Genomic DNA, 26,307 nt, shown 5'->3' on the forward strand with positions numbered 1-26,307 from the left:
CAGCCATCCCATTACTGGTTATATACCCAAAGGACTATAAATCATGCTGCTATAAAAACACATGAACACGTATGTTTATTGCAGCACTATTCACAATAGCAAAGACTTGGAACCAACCCAAATGTCCAACAATGATAGACTGGATTAAGAAAATGTGGCACATATACACCATGGAATACTATGCAGCCATAAAAAAGGATGAGTTCATGTCCTTTGTAGGGACATGGATGAAATTGGAAATCATCATTCTCAGTAAACTATCGCAAGAACAAAAAACCAAACACCGCATATTCTCACTCATAGGTGGGAATTGAACACTGAGAACACATGGACACAGGAAGGGGAACATCACACTCTGGGGACTGTTGTGGGGTGGGGGAGTGGGGAGGGATAGCATTGGGAGATATACCTAATGCTAGATGACGAGTTAGTGGGTGCAGCACACCAGCATGGCACATGTATACATATGTAACTAACCTGCACATTGTGCACATGTACCCTAAAACTTAAAGTATAATAATAAAAAAAAAAGAAACAACACAACAGGCATATAAGAAACAACACAATTGTCAATAAAACAAAAAAGCCAATCAAAAGCAGATTCAGAAATTGGAAATATCACATATAGTCTTGAAGATAACTACACTATATCAGTCACTGTCTAGTCAAGAACACAGAAACCATACTAGGGATTTTTATCATGGAGAATTGAATATTAATATGTACTTAAACAGGTGTTAGAGAAATGAGAAAATAAAAAAGGACCTATAAAATAACAAACACAGAAATGGTGCCTAAAAGAAGGAGCTGACTTTTCAACAGAAACAATGAAAGAAGACAATGGAATGGCATCTTTGAAGTAATGAAAGAAAATAATCACTAACTTAGAATTCTATTATCAGTAAAAATGTGCTTCAGAAAAAGAAAGCAAATGAAGACATTTTCAGACCCAAAAAAATAAACCTAAAAGATTTTGTCAGCAATAGACATACATAGAGGCAAACAATAGGATGCTCTGCAGGCAGAACAAAAATGATCTTGGATGGCAGCTTGGATATGCCGGAGGGAATGACAAGCAATGGAAAGGGTCATGATGTTAGATATATAAATGAACATTGCATGTATAAAGCAATATGAATAATAATGTGATGAGAAAGTTAGAAAAATATTCCTGAAAACATACTGTATATGGGAAAGTGGTAAATGATCTGTGTTCTAAGGTACATGCGTTGACAGGAAATTAGCACGAGTATTAATTGATATATCCTGATTCCTTCCTTTCTTTTCACAGTTTTCTTCCCTTATACACTTTTTACATTTCTAACTCTATTCCAGTGTCTGTTTCCTGGAGAAAACAACCTGTGATGAGTATCTTCAACTTTAGAAGCTAATGCTATTTTTTATTTTTCCAATTACACTTTCGCTAACACTATGTGAATGCTCCAATTGGTCTACATTCTCACAAACACTTGGTACTATCAATCTTATTGATTTTGGCCACTTTGGTGGTTATATAGTAGTGTATCATTGAGGTTATACTGTATATTTCCTGAATTGTTAATGATGTTCACCATATTTTTATATGATTTTTTAATGTTATTGTGAAATGCCTATTCATGTCTATTTCACCTTCAATTTTTATTGGTTTGTATTTAGTGATTTAGATTTATATTTTATGTTCTTTAGAATATTATCTATGGAAATTATTGGAGGCATAAAACTAAATTTTGTTCCATCAAAGAGAAATTTATTTGCATTTGTTTCGAGCCTCCTACAAACACTTAACTACAAACACTCCTACAAATAACTTAACTTTTACAAACTGAAAGTTAAGTTTGGCAAATTTTAGGTCAGGTGGTGCTTTTGGAGTCCATTCGGTGACTGAAATGAGTATGGGTTTGTAACAGAACCTCTCAGAGTGGACATTTAAAAAAATTTCCTATCCTCTCAAAGCTAAATGTAGGCCAAACAAATATCTCTTAAGTCTTCAACTAAGGGCAATTTTATTTTGCTTTATTAAACCCGCTGAGTGTGTCATCCTTCGGGATCTAGTTTTACAAGAGGAGTCTCCAATATTCAGCCCTTCTCCCTGGTTAACCCACAGACTTCTACCCAGATGTGTGGCCATTACAACAGATCTTGGCTATTAGAGATAAAGAGAGAAACTCCAGGAAAATTTTCAGCCCCAGGACTCACTAAATTCCTACTTTCTTATCTCATTTGGTCAGGGGCAGTGGTGTGCTGGTAAATATTTAACAAATAGATCTCCAGAAAAAAAGAGCAAAAAAAATTAAATAAATAAAAAGCCCAACTTCATAGTGTTTGCCAATTTTCATAGCGGAAATATTCCAACCATGGTCAATTTCAAGCTACTAATATGACCTCGCTAAATGCAGAGTTGGGGAGAAAGGTACAGCAGCACACTATTGTACAGTATTTTCAAACTATAGATACTATAGATGTAAAGAACTTAAAAAGCATAGGTAATTAATATTTAGTGAATTAAGTTATTGATGTTTTATTACTAACATCAATGTCAATATCAATATTTCATTCATATTGATAATTATTAATAGGATTGTTTGATTATTGATAATTTAAAAAACCTAATGGAACTATGTTCTCATGCTTCATCATGAATGTGACTCAGCTAATCTCCTCATGTCTGTTTTTGTGTGTGTGTGTTCTCTTCCGCTTCTCTTCTGACCTTCTTCTCTCTGGACTTTCAGTTTCATTCAATTTTCAAGAAGACTTTGGATTGACCCAGCTAATAACTGCAAACTTTGGTCACTGGCAAGTCTCTGGATTGGCTGCCCTTGGCTGGATTTTGATACCAGGTTCTACTCCCCCACTTATCTTCGTAGCAGAGGTTGTGGCAGGGCCATTTTCTTTACCAGGGGCAACATGAGGCAGGCAGGCAGGCAACAATGATTGACATGTCTAGTACAAATAGGATAACTGTAGAACTATAAAAAGAAAAGTGCAAGATTCCCCGTGCTCAGAGTTCCACCAGTGGTTGTGTTAAATCAGGATACATGACTCCATTCAGGGCAAGAAACAATTTGCCTGGCATTGCACAGTGAGTCAACAGTAAACTCCAAAACTCCAATTTATGTAAAGGGGCAAAAATCACTTTTATTATTCTTTGAACAAAGCTGCTCCTTAAAAAATCACCCTTATATTAATATAACAATACTAATTAATTACCTTCATAAACATTCCTCAAAATTTTCTTTTCTTTTTATGAGTGTTATTTATTTATTTATTTATTTATTTATTTATTTTGCTTTCTTGCTCAGTGGCTATATTGTGTTTGGGGATGTGAGTTCAAAAGTCAAGGACTCAGTTTGGTTTAATTTCACTTATGTGGCACTGTGGTTACACATCGGAATTTAAAAGAGCTGAAAATATTATTCTTTCCTATCTTTTTTTAAAAAACCATATCTGAAGATCCCAACAGCTTTTATGACTTATTCCAAAAAGGCTTTCCCTAAAATAAACTGGAAGATTCGGTTTTATGTTATTTAGGTCATTTAATCAGAAAGCAAATCATGTGTCTTTGATCATGCCCTTGCCAGAAGATCCCTAACTCATTAGTGTGCTATTAATGAGGCTGCATTTTAAAGCAGGTGTTGTTAAGTGCAATCAGAGCAGCTTTATTAAGCCACAAATTGTCTTGCGATGACAAAGGAAGTCAGATTGGTCTATGCTCAGTTAACCTTTGTCTATATGCATGACTTGGCTGATTAAACAGCAATTGATAATGACCTTCAGTCTTGCAAAGCCAGAAAAAGGTGATGCCTAATGTTGGCATTCATTGTGTGTGATGTGAGTGAAAGGCAGGCAGTCTCTTTAATTTAGAAATCTATAATGCAATTGCAAAATTAACTAATATTGCAGTGCAATGAACCACTAATTTATGTGTATTAAACTGATATTTTGATGTGCATGTTATTTCAGAGTACAGCTTTATTGCAGAGTTAACTTCAGGTCAAAGAAATTTTGACTGGCCATCCTTAGTAGCTAGAAATAGAAGACTGTGGAAGAAAAAGGAGAGTTGTTTTTGAAGATTTGTTAATTTCTTTAACAAGCATACTAAGCTCCTAATATGTTGAAGATGCTGGCCTGGTAAATTTATCACAGGCCCTGTTTCCCAAGGGCTCACAATGGGGTGATAGACAGGAACACCAATTTTATTACAATTTATTCAGTGCAACAACAGTTTATCATTAGCACCTGAGAAGAATGCTGTCTGTCATTCTCAGGACCTCAACTGATTCCAAAAATGTGGAGGGAGATGCAGCAGACTGTAGGGAAATTTTAATTTATTGAGTGTCTGTTATATGCTAGTCACTTCATTCATGTTGCCTCATTGAATCCCTATAACAATTCTTAGGTAAATATTACTGACCTCATTTCACAGATGAGGAAACAAATTCTTTCATGGGTTAAGTATTTTTTGCCTGAGTACAGTCAAATGGTAACAGTTTGAAGTCGAGCTCTGTTTGTCTCTAAAACCCACATTATTCTAAAACCAATGTGGAAACACCCAAGATAAATAGAATAAGAGTAAACGGCAAATTGTTTATCTTCTGTGCTCTATGTGCATGTGTTTGTTGGTGGGGGCTTGTGTGTATTCTAGCTTTTTTGTTACCTAGTTTGGGTTTGAAATCCATTTTGAACAATGGCTTCCACCTCATGGCATTATAAATTTCTCTGTATTCTTTGTAAGTTCACCTTCATGAGCAGACATTTGATGACTTCATCACTTATCACAGCATCCATCCTTAATATTTAGAAGGCTTTACAAAGTACCCTCCTAAAATATGAACAGTCTGGAGGTGGTCATAACTTGAAGTTTTGCTAACACACTTCCCAGCTTGGGTTAAGGGCATTTTATTCTGGGGTATATTAATAGACGGGTCAAGAAAAAATACCAGGGGTCAAGTAGATATGTTTAACTGTTAAGCAAAGTTAGAGAAGTTTCTTTCTTACTGCAGGACCTTTCAGAGCCTTTAACATGTTAATAGTATTGTGACTTTCCAGGAGAGAATTGGGGTACTCTGCATTTCCCAAGCTTTCTTGACCATGAGGCTCTTTGTTCTTTGAGTACCAATTAACACTCATAAGAATTAGTGTGTGCAGAACACAGCAAGCCCCTGCTGTATAAAACACTAGCAGCCAACTAACAGCATAGAGAAGGCAGAGAAAAGAAATACAGAGGAAGAGACACTGATACAGGAAATACGAAACCCAATGATTGATTTAACCTTTTTCGCAGCTTTGCTAGAACCTGTCGTGATTATTTAAATGCTGGAACAATCTTAATGAATGGCATGATCATTAATTATAAAAATATAAATAATGCTCATTTAAATTGCCAAAAGCAAATATCAATAGTTACTATAAATATCAGCTGAGTCTCCCTGACCTTTATCTTTCTTCTTTTTTAAAAAAATTGTTTCCTATAAGTTTTTGGGGAACAGGTGGTGTTTGGTTACATGAGTAAGTTCTTTAGTGGTGATTTGTGAGATTTTGTTGCACTCATCACCTAGGCAGCATACACTATACCCAATTTGTAGTCTTTTATCCTTCACCCCCGCTTCTACCTTTTCCCCCAAGTCCCCAAAGTCCATTGTATCATTCTTATGCCTTTGCACCCTCATAGCTTAGCTCCCACTTATGAGTGAGAATACACGATGTTTGGTTTTCTATTCCTGAGTTACTTCATGTGGAATAATGGTCTCCAATTCCACCCAGGTTGCTACAAATGCTGTTATTTCATTTATTTTTATGGCTGAATAGTATTCCATGATGATATGTGTATACGTATTTTATATATATATATACACACACACATATATATATATTTTATATATATATATATATATATATATCACAATCTCTTTATCCACTCATTGATTAATGGGCATTTGGGCTGGTTCCATATTTTTGCAGTTGCAAATTGTGCTGCTATAAACATACATGTGCAAGTATCTTTTTTGTATAATGACTTCTTTTCCTCTTTGTAAATACCCTGTAGTGGGATTGCTGGATCAAATGGTAGTTCTGCTTTTAGTTCTTTAAGGAATGTCCTATTTTTAGTTCTTTAAGGAATGTCCACACTGTTTTCCATAGTGGTTTTACTAGTTTAAATTCCCACCAGCAGTTTAAGTGTTCCCTTTTCACTGCATCCCTGCCAACACCTATTATTTTTTGATTTTTTGGTTATGACTGTTCTTGCAGGAGTAAAGAGCTATCACATTGTGGTTTTAATTTGCATTTCCCTGATCATTAGTGATGTTGAGCATTTTTTCATATGTTTCTTGGCCACTTGTATATCTTCTTTGAGAATTGTCTATTCATGTCCTTAGCCCATTTTTTGATGGGATTGTTTTTCTCTTGCTGATTTGTTTGAGTTCCTTGTATATTCTGGTTATTAGTTCTTTGTTAGTACAGACTGTGAAGATTTTCTCCCACTCTGTAGGTTGTCTGTTTACTCTGCTGATTGTTTCTTTTGCTGTGCAGAAACTATTTAGTTTAATTAAGTCCCACCTATTTATCATTGTTTTTGTTGCATTTGGTTTTGCGTTCTTGGTCATGATGTCTCTGCCTAAGCCAATGACTAGCAGGGTTCTTCCAATGTTATCTTCTAGAATTTTTATGGTTTCAAGTCCTTGCTCCATCTTGAATTGATTTTTGTATAAGATGAGAGGTGAGGATTCAGTTTCATTCTTCTCCATGTGGCTTGTCAATTATCCCAGAGCATTTGTTGAATAAGGTGTCCTTTCCTCACTTTATGTTTTTGTTTGCTTTGTTGAAGATCAGTTGACTGTAAGTATTTGGCTTTATTTCTGGGTTCTCTATTCTATTCCACTGGTCTATATGCCTGTTTTTATACCAAAACCATGCTGTTTTGGTGGCTGTGGCCTTATAGTATACTTTCTAAGTCAGGTAATGTGATGACTCCAGATTTGTTTTTTTTGCTTACTCTTGTTTTGGCTATGCAGGCTCTTTTTTGGTTCCACAGGAATTTTAGGATTGTCTTTTTTAATTCTGTGAAGAATGATGGTATTCTGATGGGAAGTGCATTGAATTTATAGATTTCTTTTGGCAGTACGGTGATTTTCACAAAATTCATTCAACCCATCCATGAGCATGGAATGTGTTTACATTTGTTTGTGTCATCTATGATTTCTTTCAGCAGTGTTTTGTAGTTTTCCTTCTAGAGATCTTTTACCTTCTTGGTTAGGTATATTCCTAAGTGTTTTATTTATTTTTTTGCAGCTATTGTAAAAGGGGTTGAGTTCTTGATTTGATTCTCAGATTGGTCACTGTTGGTGTATAGCAGAGCTACCGATCTGAATGACACTTGAAGGAGTTGTTCTTTTTCAGATTATATAAAGGTAATTAAAGAATTAATGGGGCAAATGAAACATGGGATTTTGAAATCAACTATGTAGATTTACTAAAATTGACTAAATCCCATTCTAGTACAAATTATTTGCAGCTTTATTAGTTGCATAATTCTAGGTCACTTCTGGTTGCATTTTTAGACTCACCTTTCAAAAATACATTTTAAAAATGATCTTCCAAGATCAAAATCTCTGATGTACAGTTAAGGTCAATAGTCAATCTTCCCTCACTAAAGCAGTATCTCTTTGGTCTTGCATAGGGTCCTCCACTTTTTGTCTTTACAACATTGTTTTTGTCCAGTGTTCATCCTATTGGTTGCCTCCTAGTAACAATGCTAAGAAATCAATAACATTAAACTCTGAAACTCTCCATCTGCAAGTGCAAAACGTTACATTACAGGTTATCTCTGTCACCCCAAGTCCGTTTGCTCTGTTATAATTGTGATCGCTATAGTATTCCTGTTCTTGTCCTAGTACTGCATTAATCCAAGTATCATAGTCACCGTAGGAGCTGACCTGTCATGTAATTCCTCTTGCAGCCCCTGGAATGTTTCCAAGCATGCCTTAGGATAGTATTATTGCTTGAAAATGCTTTCTACTCACAGGGAAAGAAGGCTGGCTGGAAGACTGTTGGAGGATTGTTATATTTAAGAAGGCATCAGGTTGATTTGCCATGGCTTTATAATTTTTTTTTCCATTTAAATATCTTTTAGACTTCCTTGGAAGACTGCTTGATTCTACCTACTTTAAAGAAGCCCTGTTTTCTTCGGTCTCCTACCTAACCTCTCACTCTTGCAGGAAGTAGATCCCCAAAATAACAGGTGATAAAAATGATAATTGGCACTACTGACAATGACCTGTTCATTCAAAATGGATTTCAGACCCAAACTAGGCAACAAAAAAGCTAGAATACACCTGTTCAGCCCAATGACAATCTCAAGTGACTTATACATACAGGCTAGTGATCAGTAAATATATGATAATGATGCCTGGTCATTTCGCCACCTTGTGAGACAGGTCTGGGATGTGACCCAGATGGAAAGTTTTGTAGGATAGAGCAGGAGTGATCCAGGTCTTCCTCCAAGGTCATTCATTTCTGTGCCAAATAACAAACAGGTTTCAATAAGGATTATTTTATAAATTGAGCAACCACAGATTATTCCTTGGATAGGTGAAAATTATTTTGGTGAAAAGGATAAGAGAAGCGCACTTCAGCTGATAGATGTTTCAATTTTTCTGAGAAAAGAAATGTATTTACCAGATCGGAATCATTTTGGTAAATTACATTTCAATGCTGAGTCATCTGCACAGCAGTGCGGTAGTGCACGCCCTTTTGAAAGATAAATTGTACAGCTGCATTATTCAAATCTCTGCATTAGAAATGGCTTGAGACGAGCTCTGAAAGGAACTTAATCCATACACAAAAACTTCTAGCTTTTGCAATTATCTTTTAAAGAGGAAAAAGTTCCAAAGATCTTAGAAAGAATCTCCAGGAAATATTTACACTGAAAGTAACATTGCTGTGAATGACTGCCTTGTTTTAGACTTCACAAAAATTGTGACTGTGACTACCAGATGGATAAGAATGATGCAAAATTCAAGATGGCATTGCTGAGGCTGGTTCTTACATGAAATTGAATAAAATTCCAAACTGTTTTACTGCTTAATTTGACTCATCCTCATTTTCAGTTTTATTCACTTCACAGTTGCATGAGAAGCAGTGTGATATTCGAGGACAGAGGTTCTCAAACTGTCTTCCCAGACTAGCAGCATCAGCAGCATCAGGGAAGTTGTTGAAAAGCAAATGCTGTGGCCCTCTGCTGCAGACCTACTGAGTCAGAAAGTCTGGAGGTGAGGCCCAGCTATCTGTGCCTAACAGTCCTTCATGTGCTTCTAATCATGCTACCGTTTGAGAACCTTCCTACTAAAATCTCTGGAATTAGGAGAGTCTGCAATTCACCAAATCAGCTGGATGAACATAAATAAATCCTCCAACGTCTCTGAATCTTAATTTCTTATCTGCAAATTGAGGAGTGTGGGCTACATGATTTCTAATGTACTTTTCAATTTTGTAATTCTGCACTAATACTTCTACATGGAAATTTTAATTCCACCGTAATAGCTCAGTGTTGAAAGTCAGAAAGCCGTGATTTCAAATTCTGGCCTTACTCCTTAATAGTTGTGTCCTTCTTCTTATGTTTAGCCTCTCAGAGCCTCAGTTTCCACATTTGTAAACTGCAGATAACAATAATGCTTATGTCATTAGTTTGTTTGTTTGTTTGTTTGTTTTTTGAGATGGAGTCTTGCTCTGTCACCCAGGCTGGAGTGCAGTGGCGGAATCTCAGCTCACTGCAACCTCCGCCTCCCGGGTTTAAGAGATTCTCCTACCTCAGCCTCCCAAGTAGCTGGAATTACAGGCATGCACCACTATGCCTGGCTAATTTTTTTTTTATTTGTTGGTAGAGATGGGTTTCACCATGTTGGCCAGGCTGGTCTCGAACTCCTGGCCTCAAGTGATGCACCCACCTCGGCCTCCCAAAATGCTCGGATTACAGGCGTGAGACACCAGGCACCCGGCTATGTCATTGATTTTTGAGGGTTAATGGAGCTAATACATGTAGAGTGCTAAGTATGGTAGTTGGCATAAAGCCTCAATAAAGGATAGTTACTATTTGGAGGTGAAGCTCTGAAAAAGATGCTTAATTTTCAAAGTCATAAAATTAGAAAAGAGACTTCCCTTTGAAAGCCTATGTAGCAAGGAGCAAAGACTGCAAGATTCAGAACAAATGGGCATTTCAGCTTCAGTTACTTGTCATTAACTGATTTAGGCTGTTAGAAAATGCATTGGCACTTAAGATTTCCATTCTTCTGTGAAGAAAAAGATGCGTGTTTTTTCACATTATTTGGATAAACTACAATTATTTTAAAATATGAAGAGAAATTCAGTAAAATTTTGGTAAGACAATAAGATGCTAATGTGATGGTGGTAATGTCTTTTTCTTCACAGCTTTATTTTTGTTTGGTCAAAAAAAAAAGAAAACACAGTTGTTTATAGTGTATTTGCAAACAATCAACTAGGAAATCATGCATTAATTGTTCAGATGAAAGCATGATGCTGCTCATATTTATCTGTGTTTATCACGGCACCAGACGGCCTGATTGGGAAAGTACTTCGTAGCAGGAGAGCCCAAGACACAGCAGCTAAATAGATGCCTCTTTAATGTGAGGTGTTCGGTATCAGATGGGGCTTTGTTGACCTTGTTCCTAAGCACAATCAGCCTGTATGGAGGGCTCTGTGCAGCAGCGCCTAGGCCTCTGTTTTAGTTCTTAATTTCTTTCACGGCATCAAAAGGCTTTTCTATTCAAAAGCTTTTCTTTTTCTTTTACTCGTGAGCCTCTGCAATTGAGGCAGAACTGCAATCTACCAGCAGCAGCCTTTGTTCTGGCCTTTCAGGAGGCTGGCGAGCAGTGTGAGTCCTTCCTAATTAGCCTGCGGACCAATGAAATAGTTCTTTGAGCCAGGAGAGGCTGCAATCCCACAGCCCAAATGGCAGAAAAGGGGGGAAAGGCCTCTTTAATTAAGGCCCAACAAAACTGGTAAAAAATGGTATTTTGCTCTCTACAAATGTCTCTTTTAAATCCCTGTAAATGCTGGCACATGCACATGCTTTTAAACTGTGCCTTCCCTTTTGCCAATGTACTGTCGGTCTGCTTTGGCTAAAGACTACAGAATTTATTGGTCCGTAAGAGTTTAGGACCCAGCAGCCTTGGGCTGTGTCTGTGTTTGCATTTGCACGAGAAGTACAGGCTGTGCTGGAGGCAAAGAGCTGATAATCAGGAGATGGTCTTCACTTATAAAAGTGATGCATGACAGCCCCACCTTACAGGCTTGGCATTTACACAGGACGTTCACAAATGTCACTGCACAAAAATCCTGCCAGCACCGCAGATGTATTAATTTATTAGTTTCCTCCATTGTTTTGCTCCTCATTTATGTCTTTTGACTGCAATGCATTTATTTTTTTCTTCACTGAACTCTTTAGTAGCTTAATATTGTACAGGTTAAGAAGATAGTTTTGGACATGGCACTATGCATTATCCTTTCAGACCACCTTTTACATATGTGGTAACTTTATCTTACTATGCCTGAGTGAATGATTAGGTTTTGCTCCCTTATTTTTAAACTGAAAATACTTTCCCCAATTTTAAAATTATACACATTTGTTGCAAAAAAATATTTTAAGATATCTAATGCAGATAATTATAAGAAGAAAGGTACTGCCATTTAGAGATAAGTACCATTAACATTTTGTAGTAAATCAGTTCATCTGCATATGCTCATGCAAATTTACACAAATAAAATGTTTTCATATATATTCTTGTCGCTTGACAACATGTGCGGATGTACATTTAAGTCAGTACGTAGGACTGCATTATCATTTTTAGTGGCTGTGTATTACTAGTCTTTTGAAGAATAAAAAAGACCATGATTAGACATAATTATTGTGTTTACACCTATTTAAGATCTGATTAGATTCCTTTGAATGCATCACAACATTAGACAATTTCAAATTCCCACTTCAATGAAAGTTTTTATCTTTTGTAGGTAATATAGTCTCGACAGAAATATATATGATAAAATAGAATAATTGCATGTATTTTATATGATGGGAGTAAGAAATACACACAAGCATACACGATGCTTTTATTTTTAATTTTTTATTAAACAGAATTATTTTTCCAGCATGACAACTGCAGGTAATTTGCTTTTAGTCAGAGAATGTCAATGGTCTCTTGAAAGCTTTCTTTGTGAACATCTCAAAATAGTTTGGTTCGTTTAAGTAGTCTGTGCCTATAAACACCAAACATTCAGTCAATTTATTACAAAGTTGGTCAAACATTGAAATGTTCAGCAGATTTTTTGTTTGAGCTCATTATGAGCGAGGCATCATGTGGACACATTCTGAGTAAATGGGAACAGAGGGAAATAGAATAACTCCTTGAAGTCTTCTATTTACTCTCCAATACCTATCCTAAAATATGTATGCCTCTAACATGGACAACATCATATAAAGTGTGACACACTGGGGGAAAGACTAAACGTAAAAACAAGCTGCCAAAGATTCATTGTTTCTACCCACAATCAATACTTTCCGGCCACTATGTCATTATCTATAAAAGGAGGAAAATGTCTCAAAGGAACACTGTAAGGATCAAACATGATAATGTCAATAGCTAGTACTTCATATTTTAATTATATTCAGAAAAGATTCTTTAAGTGCCTACCATGTTTCAGGCTTGGTGAAAAACAAAACAAATTTTATTTCTGTAGCATATCATAGCATACAGAGGACTATCACATATATGATCTCATTTTTTTACTAAAACTTGGGAGTCACTGCTGCAATTATCATCCTCGTTTTACAATAGAGGAAACTGAATTTCAAAGGCAAAAAAATAATACTTTAAACTTGCAAAGCTTGCTAAATTTTAGAGTTGAAACTCAACCTCAAATTTTCTTATTCCTGGATTCAGGAATAATGTTCAAGCACCTAAGCTTAGCAAGATCTTGAAACAACATGATGAGTGCCTTCAAAAATGAATTTACAGATGCTTAGACATTTTCTTTTTATGACCATCTCTTCGATGAAAGTGTGACAGTTAAGTGCAATGGAAACCTGTGGAGGTGTTTCTCTAAGTGCTTTAGCTGCTTAAAGCAAAAATCATGGTGCTTGGTGATCTGAGGAGCCGAACTGTGAGACAAGGAAAATGTAGAGTTTTGGAAGTATGGAGTGGAGTTTGAGGTGAGGTTTGTACATCCACAAAAAGACACCAAATAGGCAGGTGAAAATGTGGTTTAGAGCTCAGAAGAGATGCTTGAGCTAAAGTTGTGCAATGTGAAACTCATACATCTGAGTTAGCACCTGGAGCTGTTGGCATTGGCGGCGAGATGGCTCTATGAAAACCTTCTTGGTGCTCACATATATCCAGAAGTAAAAAGAGGAAGAGCAATCAAAAGAAAAAAAAAAGGAAGAAGAAGAAGAAGGCTGGGTACAGTGGCTCACGCCTGTAATCCCAGCACTTTGGGAGGCCAAGACGGGTGGATCACGAGGTCAGGAGATCAAGACCATCCTGGCTAACACGGTGAAACCCCGTCTCTATGAAAAATACAAAAAAATTAGCCAGGCGTGGTGGCGGGCGCCTGTAGTTCCAGCTACTCCGGAGGCTGAGGCAGGAGAATGGCGTGAACCTGGAGGCGGAGCTTGCAGTGAGCCCAGATAGCGCCACTGCACTCCAGACTGGGCAACAGAGCGAGACTCCATTTCAAAGAAAACAACAAACAAACAAACAAAACAAAAAAGAGAAGGCTTTAGAATGGTGCTCAGAGAAGGAAGAAAACTCAATTCTACAATGTAATGCGAGGATGTGGGGAGACTACTGCAACAGGGCATGGGGGCCATGAAAAAAGAAACTAGTACATATTAACTGTCTACCATGGCCTGATGTGGCGCTGGGCACCATCATGCAGTTACCTTTCACATGCATAATCTTGTTTAATTTTCCCAATTATCTTGCGAAGTCCACTAGTGCTTGGAAAGTTTTGATAATTTGCCCACGCGCACCTCATTAGTGCTGGAACTGTGCAGTTAAGATATGTCTGACTCTAAAGTCCATGCTCAACAGCATTAAATCCATGTGCAGAAATCCACAGAAAATAAGTGAAAGAAGGAGATGAGATCATTGGTATCTTCGGGTGATAGCTGTCTCAGTAGAAAGAAAGAGAAGTTTAGGTGGAAAAAAAAAGCAGTAAGGAAACAGAAGCAATGATTATAGATTATGCATTCCTTAAATGTGACTCTGAATGCAAAGAGAGGAATGTATGTCATTCCCAACAAGAACAGTTGATTATCTTTTAATTATTTCGAAACAATTCAGAAAATCTAGGAAATAGGGAGTCCACTAAAGGGAGGAGAGTGGATTATCTTGAGGCTCATATGACAATCAATTTAATGTTATATAAATTTAAAGGGAATGATTCTTTTAGCACTACCTTTTCTCTTCTAATATTTACTTTCCTCCTGCTATTTTTGTACCATGAACAACTCAATTTCTTTTCTCTAACAATCTTGTTTTGTTTTGGAGACAGGGTCTTGCTCTGTCGCCCAGACTGGAGTGCAGTGGTGCCATCATGGCTCACTGCAGCCTCGACCTCTCAGGTTCAAGCAATTCTCATGCCTCAGCCTCTCAAGTAGCTGTGATTACAGGCATGCACTACCATGCCAGACAATTTTTGTGTTTTTAGTAGAGACAGTGTTTCACCATGTTGGCCAGGCTGGTCTTGAACTCCTGGCCTCAGGTGATCCGCCTGCCTTGGACTCTCAAAGTGCTGGGATTACATGATGAGCCACCACAGCCAGCCCACAATCTTTTTTAAATTAATTCAAATTTTTAGCTCTAAAAGGCTCTTCTTGAAAATGTGTTAAAATTTTATATTATTATTCTCATTCAAGCTCCTAAATGCTCACCTGATTTGCAGGAACTGCCTGCAAGCCTGAGGTTGGCATTGATAAGGAAAGACGTTGAGAAAGGATGTGTGTACAGAGCTGGGACAGTCACTATGGTGTGCTTGCTGCATCCAGCTATGATGTGTTTTGGTGGCTGTGAATCATCAAGAGCAGAAGACACCCCTCAGTGGGACTGCACATTATGGACAGTAATAATGCTTCTTCCTCAGCTTTCTTCGCATATTTCTTTTCCCCAGTAAGTCAGCCCAGGGTCAAACACTGAATTGACAGGCAAGGACGTCAGCAAGTGGATCCAGGTCTGCTTAATGCAGGAGCTTATGTGAGCACGGTAGCATCTGGAGTCCTGGGTTGAGGCCATCTCCAAATGTTCCCCTAGAAAAGCCACAGCACCTGAAGATGTGATGACAGAGAAAATTGTGGCAAAGGCTCTGCAGCCCATTGAGATTATGGAGTGATATTCTGAAGTGATCTTACAGTAATGGAGCCACCTACCTGCTGCCCAGAACATGGCCAGTGATTCTTTGCCCTACAATTCTGAAGGTAAGTCTGCCAAGCTCTGGCAGAGCAGAAGGAATGTCACAAGGATCTGCCAAGTAAAGCATGGCAGTGAGGCCCACTTCTATGTGTGCCAAGGATGTCAGCCTGTAGCAGAAGGTAGGGGGCCAAGACAAGCCTTGTGCAAAAGCTATATAAATAGCGACACGATTTTGTGGCACCAGGTTCTAGATATGTTAGGATTAGGTGAACTTGGTTAAAGCAGAGTCATAGTCTTTTTTGTTTTATTTTGCTTTTTGTCTTAATTTTGTTTTGTTTCTTGTGTTCCACCTTTGCCTGTTACACATGGGCTTTCTGTATCTGCATTTTGTCTTGCTTTGTTTTAAGTTGACAAAAACAGCTATTTTTTTTTATTCACCCTATTTATTTATTATTTAGTCACCCTATTATTATTATTATTTAGTCACCCTATTATTCCCAAATCAAAGTAAAAATAAAAATAAATGATGATATTCAGCTTCGGGCTGGAGTCAAATTGGGCAATGTTGCATTTTCTGTATCTTTCTAGTTCCCTTTAAACTGAAATATATTATGTGTAACAAGAGAGAAAGATTAATAATAAAGTAGAAATCAAGTAAAGGAAGGTCAAATTGACTTATTTATCACAGTCTGTCAAAGTAGTGATTGATATAAAATTTGGAAAGACTGTTAGAAATTTGTGAGGGAAACCAGAATATATTTCAAGATAGAATTAGAAATTAGTGAAGAGAAATATTAGGCTTGTAACATTTCAAAGGGTCATTTTATTGTTGTTCTTCTTTCTTTCACTATGATTTTTATTTTAACTGTTAACTGTATTGGCACTTTTCTTTTGCCCACTCTAGTCTAGTTCAGTCCTGAATTTATAAAGAGATGATTCCAGTTCCGTCCTCAAGGATGCATCTTGTGGTTCGTTTGACAAGTCTTTGTATCCTTTAGAAACTTTGAATAATTGATGCTTAGTAAATACTTTTTGGAAAGATAACCATGTGCAGGGAATTGACGGAATGGTGCATGAGTGTTCTCCAGAGAAATAGAACCAGTAGGAGATATATCCTATTGCTTCTCTCTATATATATGGACATAAGAGAGGATTTATGGTGGAAATTGACTCACAAGATTATGGTGGCTGAGAAATTTCAGGATATGCCATCTGTCCACTGGAGGCCCATGAAAGCTAGTGGCATCATTCAGTCCTAGTCTGAAGACTCAAGAACCTGGAGCTACAGTGTCCAAGGACATAAGAAGATGGATGTTCCAGCTTAAGGAAGAGGGAATGAGAGTTTGCCCTACTTTCACTTTTTTTGTTCTCTCTATGCAGGCCCTCAACCAATTGGATGAGGCCCATCCACAATGGGGATCTTCTTTACTCAGTCTGCCAATTCAAATGCTAATTTCTTCTAGAAACACACAGACATACACAGAAATAATGTTAACCAGCTATCTGAGCAACCCTTAACCTTGTCATGTTGACATAGAATAAACCATTACACATGGCTTCATTGAGTGGCCCTCCAGATAATTACTGGGGACATCTTACTTGTTCCCACCACTTATATTTCCTTTTTCATCTCTGCTCCTTCTCTCTCCTACTTCTTTCTCTCTTTCCTCTCTCCCTCCCTTCATTCCTTTTCCCTTTTTTCTTTTTTTGATTCTTTTTTTTCTGCTTCCTTCCTTCCTTCCTTCTTTCCTGTTTTCCTCTCTTTTCCTATCTGCTTCTTTCTTTTTCTGTCTTGCTTTGAAATACTTTTTGCTCATTTGCCTATAATTTACTTGTTGGTTTCTAAAATTTAGATGAACATTATATAGTATTACTAGGGGTCACAGGGGCTGAAGTGGTGGTCCAGTGTCGAGGATAAACCACTCACAATCATAACTGGGGTGACCAGCATTTTCATAGCTGTTTGTCTGGAGTGGGTTTTCTATGATCAGTCAGCATCCTAGATCTCTGAATACATTTGCCTCAATGTATTCTGTAAGCCATTTACATTTGGATAAATATCCACACAGGAATTCTGAAGTGATTATGAAAATTGAAACAATACAGGGCAAAATGACACATTTTACAGGGGATAAGACTCTACTAATGGCACAGTATAATCTATTCATCGTATTATGGCCCTGTGTTCTCTAAGGAGTGTCTGAAATCTATGAGATACTTCTATATCCAAATTTACATTGGTCTCGCAAAAATCTCTCTGAAGGCATTAATTGCAAAATAGATCAAGGTTTTTCCTCGATTTCATTCTACTTGCCGCAAGTGCTCTGAGAGATTACATTTCTCTGGATGAAGTCAATGAAGCCCTGAGATTAACATTCACCCAGGAGGGGTGATCAGCCCCCGGAGAGCTTGGTCTATGCACTTTGAATTTTACAGGCCAAGGAAAAGAGCCTATAACTCAAAAGCTCACAAGCAGGATCTACCCAAATTTGTCCTTGTCTCTAGTTCTGCTTTTTTCCTGAAGTTTTTTTTCTTCCCTTTCTGCCTCTTCCCTTCTTGCCACCTTTAGCATGACCACTCCAGTAAGGACGTGAATGATAAGAAAGCAAAACAACCTTATTGCTAATGCAGAGAAAGTTTTAATGGTCTGGATAGGGGATCAAACTAGCCACAACATTCCCTTAAACCAAGCCTAATCCAGAGCAAGACTCTAACTCTCGTCAATTATATTAAGGCTGAGAGAGGTGAAGAAGCCACAGAAGAAAACTTTGAAGTTGGTTCATGAGGCTTAAGAAAAGAAGTCATCTCTGTAACATACAAGTACAAGGTGAAGCAACAAGTGCTGATGTATTTTGATAAATTTAATCAAGCCAGCTTGTGTACAGGCATATCATATTTTATTGCACTTTATAGATATTGCATTTTTACAAATTGAAGGTTTGTGGCAACCCTGCATTAAGCAAGCCTATCAGTGCCATTTTTCCAACAACACATGTTCCCTTTAGGTCTCTGGGTCACATTTTGGTAATTCTCAGAATATTTCAAACTTTTTCATTATTATTGCATCTATTATAGTGATTTGTGATCATCAATTTTTGATATTACTATTGTAATTTTTTGGCAGTGCCATCACCCACACCTATATAAGACAGTGAACTTAGTCAGTGAATGTTGTGTATGTTCTGACTGCTTCACTGACCAAACATTCTCTCTTCTGTCTCCTGCTCCTCAGGCCTCCCTATTTCCTGACACACAAAAATACTGAAGTTAAGCCAATGAATAACCCTACAATGGCCTCTAAGTGACCAAGTGAAAGGAAGAGTCACATACCTGTCACTTTAAATCAAAAGCTAGAAATGATTAAACTTGGTGAGGAAGGCATGTCGAAGCTAAGATAGGCCAATAGCTAGGCCTCTTGCACCAAACCATTAGCCAAGTTGTGAATGCAAAAGAAAAGTTCTTGAAGGAAATTTAAGGTACTATTTCAGTAAACAAATTAATAATAAGAAAGCAAAAGAGCCTTATTGCTAATGCAGAGAAAGTTTTAGTGGCCTGGATAGAAGATCAAACCAGCCACAACATTCCCCTAAGACAAAGCCTAATCCGGAGCAAGACCCTAACTCTCTTCAATTTTATGAAGGCTGAGAGAGAGGAAGAAGCTACAGAAGAAAACTTTCAAGTTGGTTCATGAAGCTTAAGGAAAGAATCCATCTCTACGGCATAAAATTGCAAGGTGAAGCAGCATGTGCTGATGTAGAAGTTACAGCAAGTTATCCAGAAGATCTAGCTAAGATCATTGACAAAAGGTGGTTACAATAAACAGATCTAAAACCGTCTTATATCAAAAGAAAATGCTAGGTAGGATGTTCATAGCTAGAGAACAGAAGTCAATGCCTGGCTCCAAAGCTTCAAAGGACAGGCTGGCCCTCTTGTTAGGGGAGTAATGCAGCTGGCGATTTTAATTTGATGGCACCATCCATTTACCTTTCCAAAAATCATAGCCCCCTAAATAATTATGCTATAGAAATCCTATCTGTGCTATATAAGTTAAACAACAAAGCCTGGATGACAACACATCTGTTCACTTCATGGTTTACTGATCATTATAAGCCCAGTGCTGAGATATGCTTCTCAGAAAAGAAGATTTCCTTCAAACTACTGTGCTCCTTGACAATGCACCTGGTCACCCAAGAGCTCTGACGAAGTTGTATAAGAAAATTAATTCTGTTTTCATGCCTGCTAACCCAACACCCTTTCTGTATTCCAAGGATCAAGGAGTAATTTTGACTTTCAAATCTTATTAGTTAAGAAATATATTCAATAAGGCTATAGTTGCCATAGACACAAATATTGATTAGATTCCTCCAATGGATTTGGGCAAATTAAATTGAAAATCTCCTAGAAAGGATTCAGTATTCCGGATGCCATTAAGAACATTTGTGATTCATCAGAGGAGGTCAAAATATCAACATTATCAGGAATTTGGAAAAAGTGGATTTCAACCCTCATGGATGACTTTGATGAGGGGTTCAAGACTTCAGTGGAGGAAGTAACTACAGATTTGATAGAAATAGCAAGAGAACTAAAATTAGAAGTGGAACCTAAAGATGTGACTGAATTGCTGCAATCACATGGTAAAACTTGACTGGATAAGGAATTCCTTCTTATGGATAAGCAAAGAAATTGGTGTTTTGAGATGGAATCCACTCTTGGTGAAGATGCTGTGAACATCGTTGAAATGATAACAAAGGACTGAGAATATTCTAGACACTTAATTGATAAAGCACTGGCAAGGTTTGAGAGGATTGACTCCAACTTTGAAAGAAGTTCTACTGTGGGTAAAATGCTAGGAAACAGCGTTGCGTGCTATAGAGAAATCTTTCATGAAAGGAAGAGTCAATCAATGCTAAAACTTCATTGTTGTCTTACTTTAAGAAATCACCACAGCCACACCAGCCTTCAGCAACTGCCACCCTGATCTGTCTGCAGCCATAGATATTGAGGTGAGACCTTCCACCAGCAAAAACATTACAACTGGATGAAGGTTCGGATAATCTTTACCGATAAAGTATCTTTCAGTTAGGGTATGTACATTGCTTTTATTTTTAACATACTGCTATTTCACACTTAATAGACTACATTATAGTATAAACATAACTTTTATACACACTGGAAAACCAAAGCATTTATGTGACTTGCTTTATTGCAATATTTGCTTTATTGTAGTGACCTGGAAGAGAACCTGCAATATCTCTGAGGTATGCTCGTGTATAATACAAAATTTAGGAGCTCTTGAAACCTTGTTATTTTTGCAAATAATGACAATAATTATACATCGTAGAGCAATTTGGTAGGTACAATTTTTCCTAATATAATATGTATCTGAAACCCAATAAGTGGCACAAAGTGACAGACCTGAGAGAGATGTCAGTAGTACATGACAGGTCCATCTCCAAAACTGAATCCAATCTAAGTAGAAAGGTATTTCTGACAAAATTCTGGAAGTTGATTTTACCCCCACTGAGCATGTATTGTTGAAACTCAGTGACTTGCTTCATGAAATAGACTCTGAAAATTCATCAACTTTAGCAATCATTTGGCTGATGGTGTTCAAGAAGTTACATTTTTTTGTAAAGGAGAATCACTCATCTTTAACACTCAGACTCTTCCAAGTAATAGTGAAAAATTGATATTGAAAACGCTAGAGAATTAGACATGTTATGAGCATTATCTACAAGCTCTAGTTTTCCTTGTGAAGCTGTTGGAATGACTGTGGGCATGGTGAAGAGAGATGCAGGTAAGGCTAACTAGATGTTAATTGTTGATGGGGGGAGTGGGGCGGGCTGAAGGAAGTCACTCATCCTTCCTGGTACTCAATTTCCTTCTTTGTAAACTAGATTAGTGTTTCTCAGATTTTTACATTTCATTATCCAGTAGCAATGTAATAGGATGCTAAATATAATAGGGTTATCAACTTTGAGTTTTGCCAACTAAGGACATTAAAAAGTTGCCATCTACTCTCACCATAATTTTATAAAGGGTAGGAAACCTTAGCACCAAAAAAGTTATTAAACCTAACTTTAGAAAATCTTTCCACAAAGTTCTTTTTTTTTTTTTTTTTTTTTTTTTTTTTTTTTGACATGGAGTTTTGCTTTTGTTGCCCAGACTGGAGTGAAATGGTGCAATCTCATCTCACTGCAACTTCCGCCTTCCAGGTTTAAGGGGTTCTCCTGCCTCAGCCTCCTGAGTAGCAGGGATTAAAGGCATGCGCCAGCACTCCCACTAATTTTTTGTATTTTTAGTAGAGACAGGGTTTCTCCAGGTTGGTCAGGCTGGTCTTGAACTCCTGACCTCAGGTGATTCGCTCACCTTGGCCTCCCAAAGTGCTGGGATTGGAAGCATGAGCCACCACGCCCAACCCTCTACAAAGTTCTTATTTTTCTAGGACTTTATCACTGACCCAGTGTGGGTCCTCGGAACATCATTTGGGAGTCCTGGATATTTACAGCCCTGATTTTTATACATGTTAATGGCTATGGTCTGAATGTTTATTTCAGCCACCAAAATTCATATGTTGAAATCCTAGCCCTCATGGCGATGGTGTTGGGAGATGGGGCCTTTGGGAGGTGATTAAGTTATGAGAGCAGAACCCTCAGGAATGGGATTAGTGCTCTTATAAAAGAGGCCTAATGTTTGCCCCTTTCATCATGTGAGGACACAGTGAGAAGGCACCATCTATGAACCAGGAAACAGGCCCTCACCAGTCACTGAGTCTGCTGGTGCCTTGATCTTGAACTTCCCAGCCTCCAGAATTGTTGGAAATAAATTGATGTTGTTGTTTATAAGCCATTCAGTTTATGGTATTTTATTGTAGCAGCCCAAACAGATGATAACCCAAAACAAAAATTAGGTAGATGTAGTCTTCAAATTCTGTATGACTCAAAGCTTATTACTCATCTATTTTCTGCCATTTACTATTTCTTCATCAAGTTCTTAAGACATTCCATTTTGAGAAATGCATTTTTAAGCTTTCCTTCCTATTTCACAGATATCACCAAAATGTAGGTTTACTAATTTTTTTCTCTACCCCAAACGCATTCTTTCTTATTTACTGAACTTTTATTTGATTACAACAAAGAAAACACACACACACACAAAACCTCACACTCATTTCAACTGCTTGATTGTCATACGTGGCTGAGAGTTACAGGACAGAAAGTCCTATTAGAGCTTTTTAAAGAGTATAAACAGAATATTAATTTTCTTTTTTCTACCTACAATTACTGAGTGAGGAGTTAGAGAAGAAGAAAAGAACTTATAAATTTTGCACAGTCACCAGCTGAATTGTAGTCAAAAGTAGGTAGATTTTGTTTAGGAGATTTTCTTGGTGTAGATCTTTGTGACTGTGCTCTGACATTCTTCTAGTATATTGGTTTGGCTACTTCTTTCTTCTTACGTAATACAACAAGAACAAACATATTTTATAATTTTGGTTTCTTGACATCCAGATTCAGATTCAGTTCTGGGCTCTCATATTATATGGGAGTGAAGGGTTTTTGGAAACAGCTGGTCTGTTTGGAATACCCTGCTTTCCTCCTTCCAGCCATCCTTCCCTGCCACCTCCCCATTCAGTCTTCATTTACTCAGTCTCACAGGCAAGCTTGCCAAACGGCCTCAAATAAGCTCCATCTGCTCACTACCTAATCTCTATTTAAATCAAGCTAAATAAACACTTTTTTTCTGGGAGAACTGGGCACATTTCTGTAGTAGGATTGTATGGAAACACCTCTCCTCACATCTTCCACAGCATTCGTTTGTGGAGTTTGTTTTTCTTTAAGGCCTTTTCAGGCTACACTGTAATTAGCACTGCAGCTTTTGCTTATTTTTGAAATGATTACCCAACACAAAAAAAAGAAAGGCAAAGTTTGTGGTTATTTGGTTAATTCAGGCAGTGGAGTCAGCCACAGCAGATAATTATGTTTCTCTTAAAGAAATCATTCAGAGAATGAATTACTCTGTGAAGTTACCTGCATTGATCTCATCCATCAGATACTGGGCCCTCTATTCAGTGCTTTCTAGAAAAAAAAATCTACATCTCTATTACCTTCCACACCTGGCGTTCCCAACCTGTCCATCCCTCCCCTCCTGTCTCTTTTTACTTCCCCAAAAAAATCAAGGAAAGTGAAACTAAGGTTACTGTTGTTTTAATGGTCATTCTGAAACCTGACATTGTTTTCCTGGAAATTGTTCAGTGCTCTGCCATTTCTAGATGGATAGGAGGGGATGTGATCAAAATCAAAGAGTGGAGCCGAACTAAGGGCTAATATCTAATAAATCTTGAATTTCAATTTGCAATATATTTATTAATCACAAAAATCTTTGACAGAAAGTCATGCATGCCCATGCTCATGGGTGCCTAATTTTTTTGCAGAGAGTATTGATGGTAACTTCTTCTGGTCCAAAGGGAGTCAATTTTAGTAGCAACAATAAAACGTCATGAGAGGTTCCTTTTTTATTTTCTGACTTTTAAAACAAAATCCAAAACATCTACGTCATCCCCAAACTTCAAATGTACCCAATTCTTTATTTGCTGTTTTCTTGATACTATAGTTTTTCTTAAGGCTTATACAGATTCTTTCTGGTCTCAAAGGAGCATTGCTCAGTTCTGCTCTGGGCACACGTGGTATTCTGCTTTCTTGGGTTTATACCCTTCGAGATATTTTTAGATGTCACTGGCAAATTTGATTCCTGATTTTTTTCTTTTTCAGTTCCTTTTCTATACAAAGTCTGTTCCCCAACTAGTTATTCACATATTCATGGCCTATAAAGATAACTGCTTGATATGGTTTAGATCTGTGTCCCCACCCAAATTTCATGTAGAATTGTGATTCCTAATGTTGGAGCTGGAGCCTGGTGGGAGGTGATTGAATCATGGGGCAGTTTTCTCACGAATGGTTTAGCAGCATCCCGTTGGTGCTGTCCTTGTGATAGAGTTCTCATGAGATCTAGTTGTTTAAAAGTGTGTGGCACTTCCCTCCCTCTCTCTTCCTCCTGTTCCAGCCATGTGAAGTGCTCACTCTCCCTCTGCCTTCCACCATAATTGGAAGCTTACTGAGACCTCCGCAGAAGCAGAAGCTATTGTGCTTCCTATATAGCCTGCAGAACTGTGAGCCAATTATATACCTCTTTACTTTATAAATTACCCAGTCTCGGGTATTTCTTCATAGCAGTGCAAGAACAGACTAATACACTGCTGTATTTCAACATGGTATTATTTACACTCAATGTTCCATTTGTGAGAACAGAAAAATATTCCTGGTAATTTTCTCCAACTATTCCACCAGCAGAGGCTTCACATGTTCTCCTACAAAAGCCTCTCTTAGTGTCATTGTGAATAAGAGGCCACATTTACCTAGTATAATACCATGTCTTAAACTTCAGGTGATTGATAAAAATAAAGTCATTGCTCCTTTTATTTTATTTGTTTATTGTATTGATTATTAGAAGAAGTATGCTTAATGACAAGAAGACTGATAATTCCTTGCACTTGAATATTTCCTGTGGCATGGAAAAAGCATGGATGTTACTATCTATTAGAAGATGTGGCTCCAGTTCTGGCCTTGCCACTTTCTGGCTGTAAGACGTTGGATGTTAATTAGCCTCTCTGACTTGATGACTCATCTATTCAGAAAAACAAACATATAATCATCTATAACTCACAGGGCTGTGAATCAAAAAGACGGTGTTCTTCGAGGACAAGAACTATCTTTTCATCTTGGTATCTCCAGCACCCAGTGCATTGCTAACCAAAAAAAAAGTAGGAACTCAATGAAATGGTAGTCTGAATCAATGAGAAAGTAAAAGGATGGATGACTGAACTAGTTAATGGACATGAAGACATTACTATATAGAGATAAAGAGAAGTTGTTTTATTTTATCAAAGCAAACAGGACAAAGTTTAGTATAGAGGACTGAAAGTCTTACAAGGAAGTTGAAAGCCACTGTGGCTTTAGGCACTTTTGTTTTCTAATTAACCCATAAAAGCGAGAGTTGAAACCAGTAGCAGTCTTGATTACAATTTTTCAAAGTATTTCTTGAATTACTGATAATGTCAATCACCATTATAACAACAACAATAACATTAAGAGAACACTTACATTGTGCTGGGCACTCTGCTAAGTGTTTAAGGTGCTTTATTTCATTTTATCTTCAAAAAGAACCCTAAGAGGTAGACACCAACATATTCCTTAGATATTAAAAAAATTAAGTGACATAACTAAGGTCACACAGCCAGCACATGGCCAAGCCCCTGCTGAATGCTATTTCCTTATCATGACTTCAAAGCCACACTGTAATAAAATATTTGGTTTACTGGCCTCATTTGCTTGACAGACATTACAGGAGAGCATAGTCTATGTTCTATTCCATTTTAAGTCCTCAGAATGCAGATGGTGCCTGGCCAACTGTGTACTTGAATGTTGAATGAACTAATTGGTGGTTCGGCCCATACATAAACTTTGTTTTCAGGCATCCCAGAGGCCTCTGTTGAAGGAGTTCTGTGTTTCTTTATCTTCCCTTCTTGTTCCTCTATCCCAGCCCAAGACTTACTGCCCCCACTGACCCTTTGGCCAACCAAACTTCTGGTTTTCTTGGCAAGACCAGTTTTGGAAATCTCAAGTCCAATCTATAATTTTTTTTAAAAACCACATATAATTTATTCCACTCTAAAATTAATATCTTCCTTTTATTATGCTTCATTTTTCTATTTCAAGGCAGTCTTATGTTGCAAACCACTTTTGGATCATGATTTGTAATGTGTATGTGAGTTTGAGGTGTACATGCTCACAGAAGATGTTTCTTTTTTTCTGCAGCAACTCACAGACCAAATCTA

The 26,307-nt window shown here is 37.5% G+C and overlaps 1 long non-coding RNA gene across 2 annotated transcripts in view, besides 1 other annotated feature; it reads left to right on the plus strand.

Moving 5' to 3' along the window:
• The window catches only part of LINC01818 (long intergenic non-protein coding RNA 1818), a 186,703-nt gene that overhangs the window by 147,600 nt on the left and 12,796 nt on the right, over positions 1-26,307 (plus strand). Inside the window, exon 3 of one of the 2 annotated variants that reach the window (NR_187171.1) lies at positions 9,105-9,266. The exons of the other annotated variant lie outside the window; for it this stretch is intronic. This is a non-coding gene — a long non-coding RNA (long intergenic non-protein coding RNA 1818). The remainder of the gene's footprint in view (positions 1-9,104; positions 9,267-26,307) is intronic. 2 annotated transcript variants of the gene reach the window in all.
• Positions 9,272-11,870: an enhancer, noted in NCBI's record as "VISTA enhancer hs1386". NCBI's record gives its function as "enhancer in: neural tube[6/12] | forebrain[12/12]" and the evidence as "EXISTENCE:transgenic organism evidence [ECO:0001131][PMID:17130149]".

The sequence above is a fragment of the Homo sapiens genome, chromosome 2 (genome assembly GCF_000001405.40).
Source record: "Homo sapiens chromosome 2, GRCh38.p14 Primary Assembly".
Classification (NCBI taxonomy): Eukaryota; Metazoa; Chordata; class Mammalia; order Primates; family Hominidae; genus Homo; species Homo sapiens.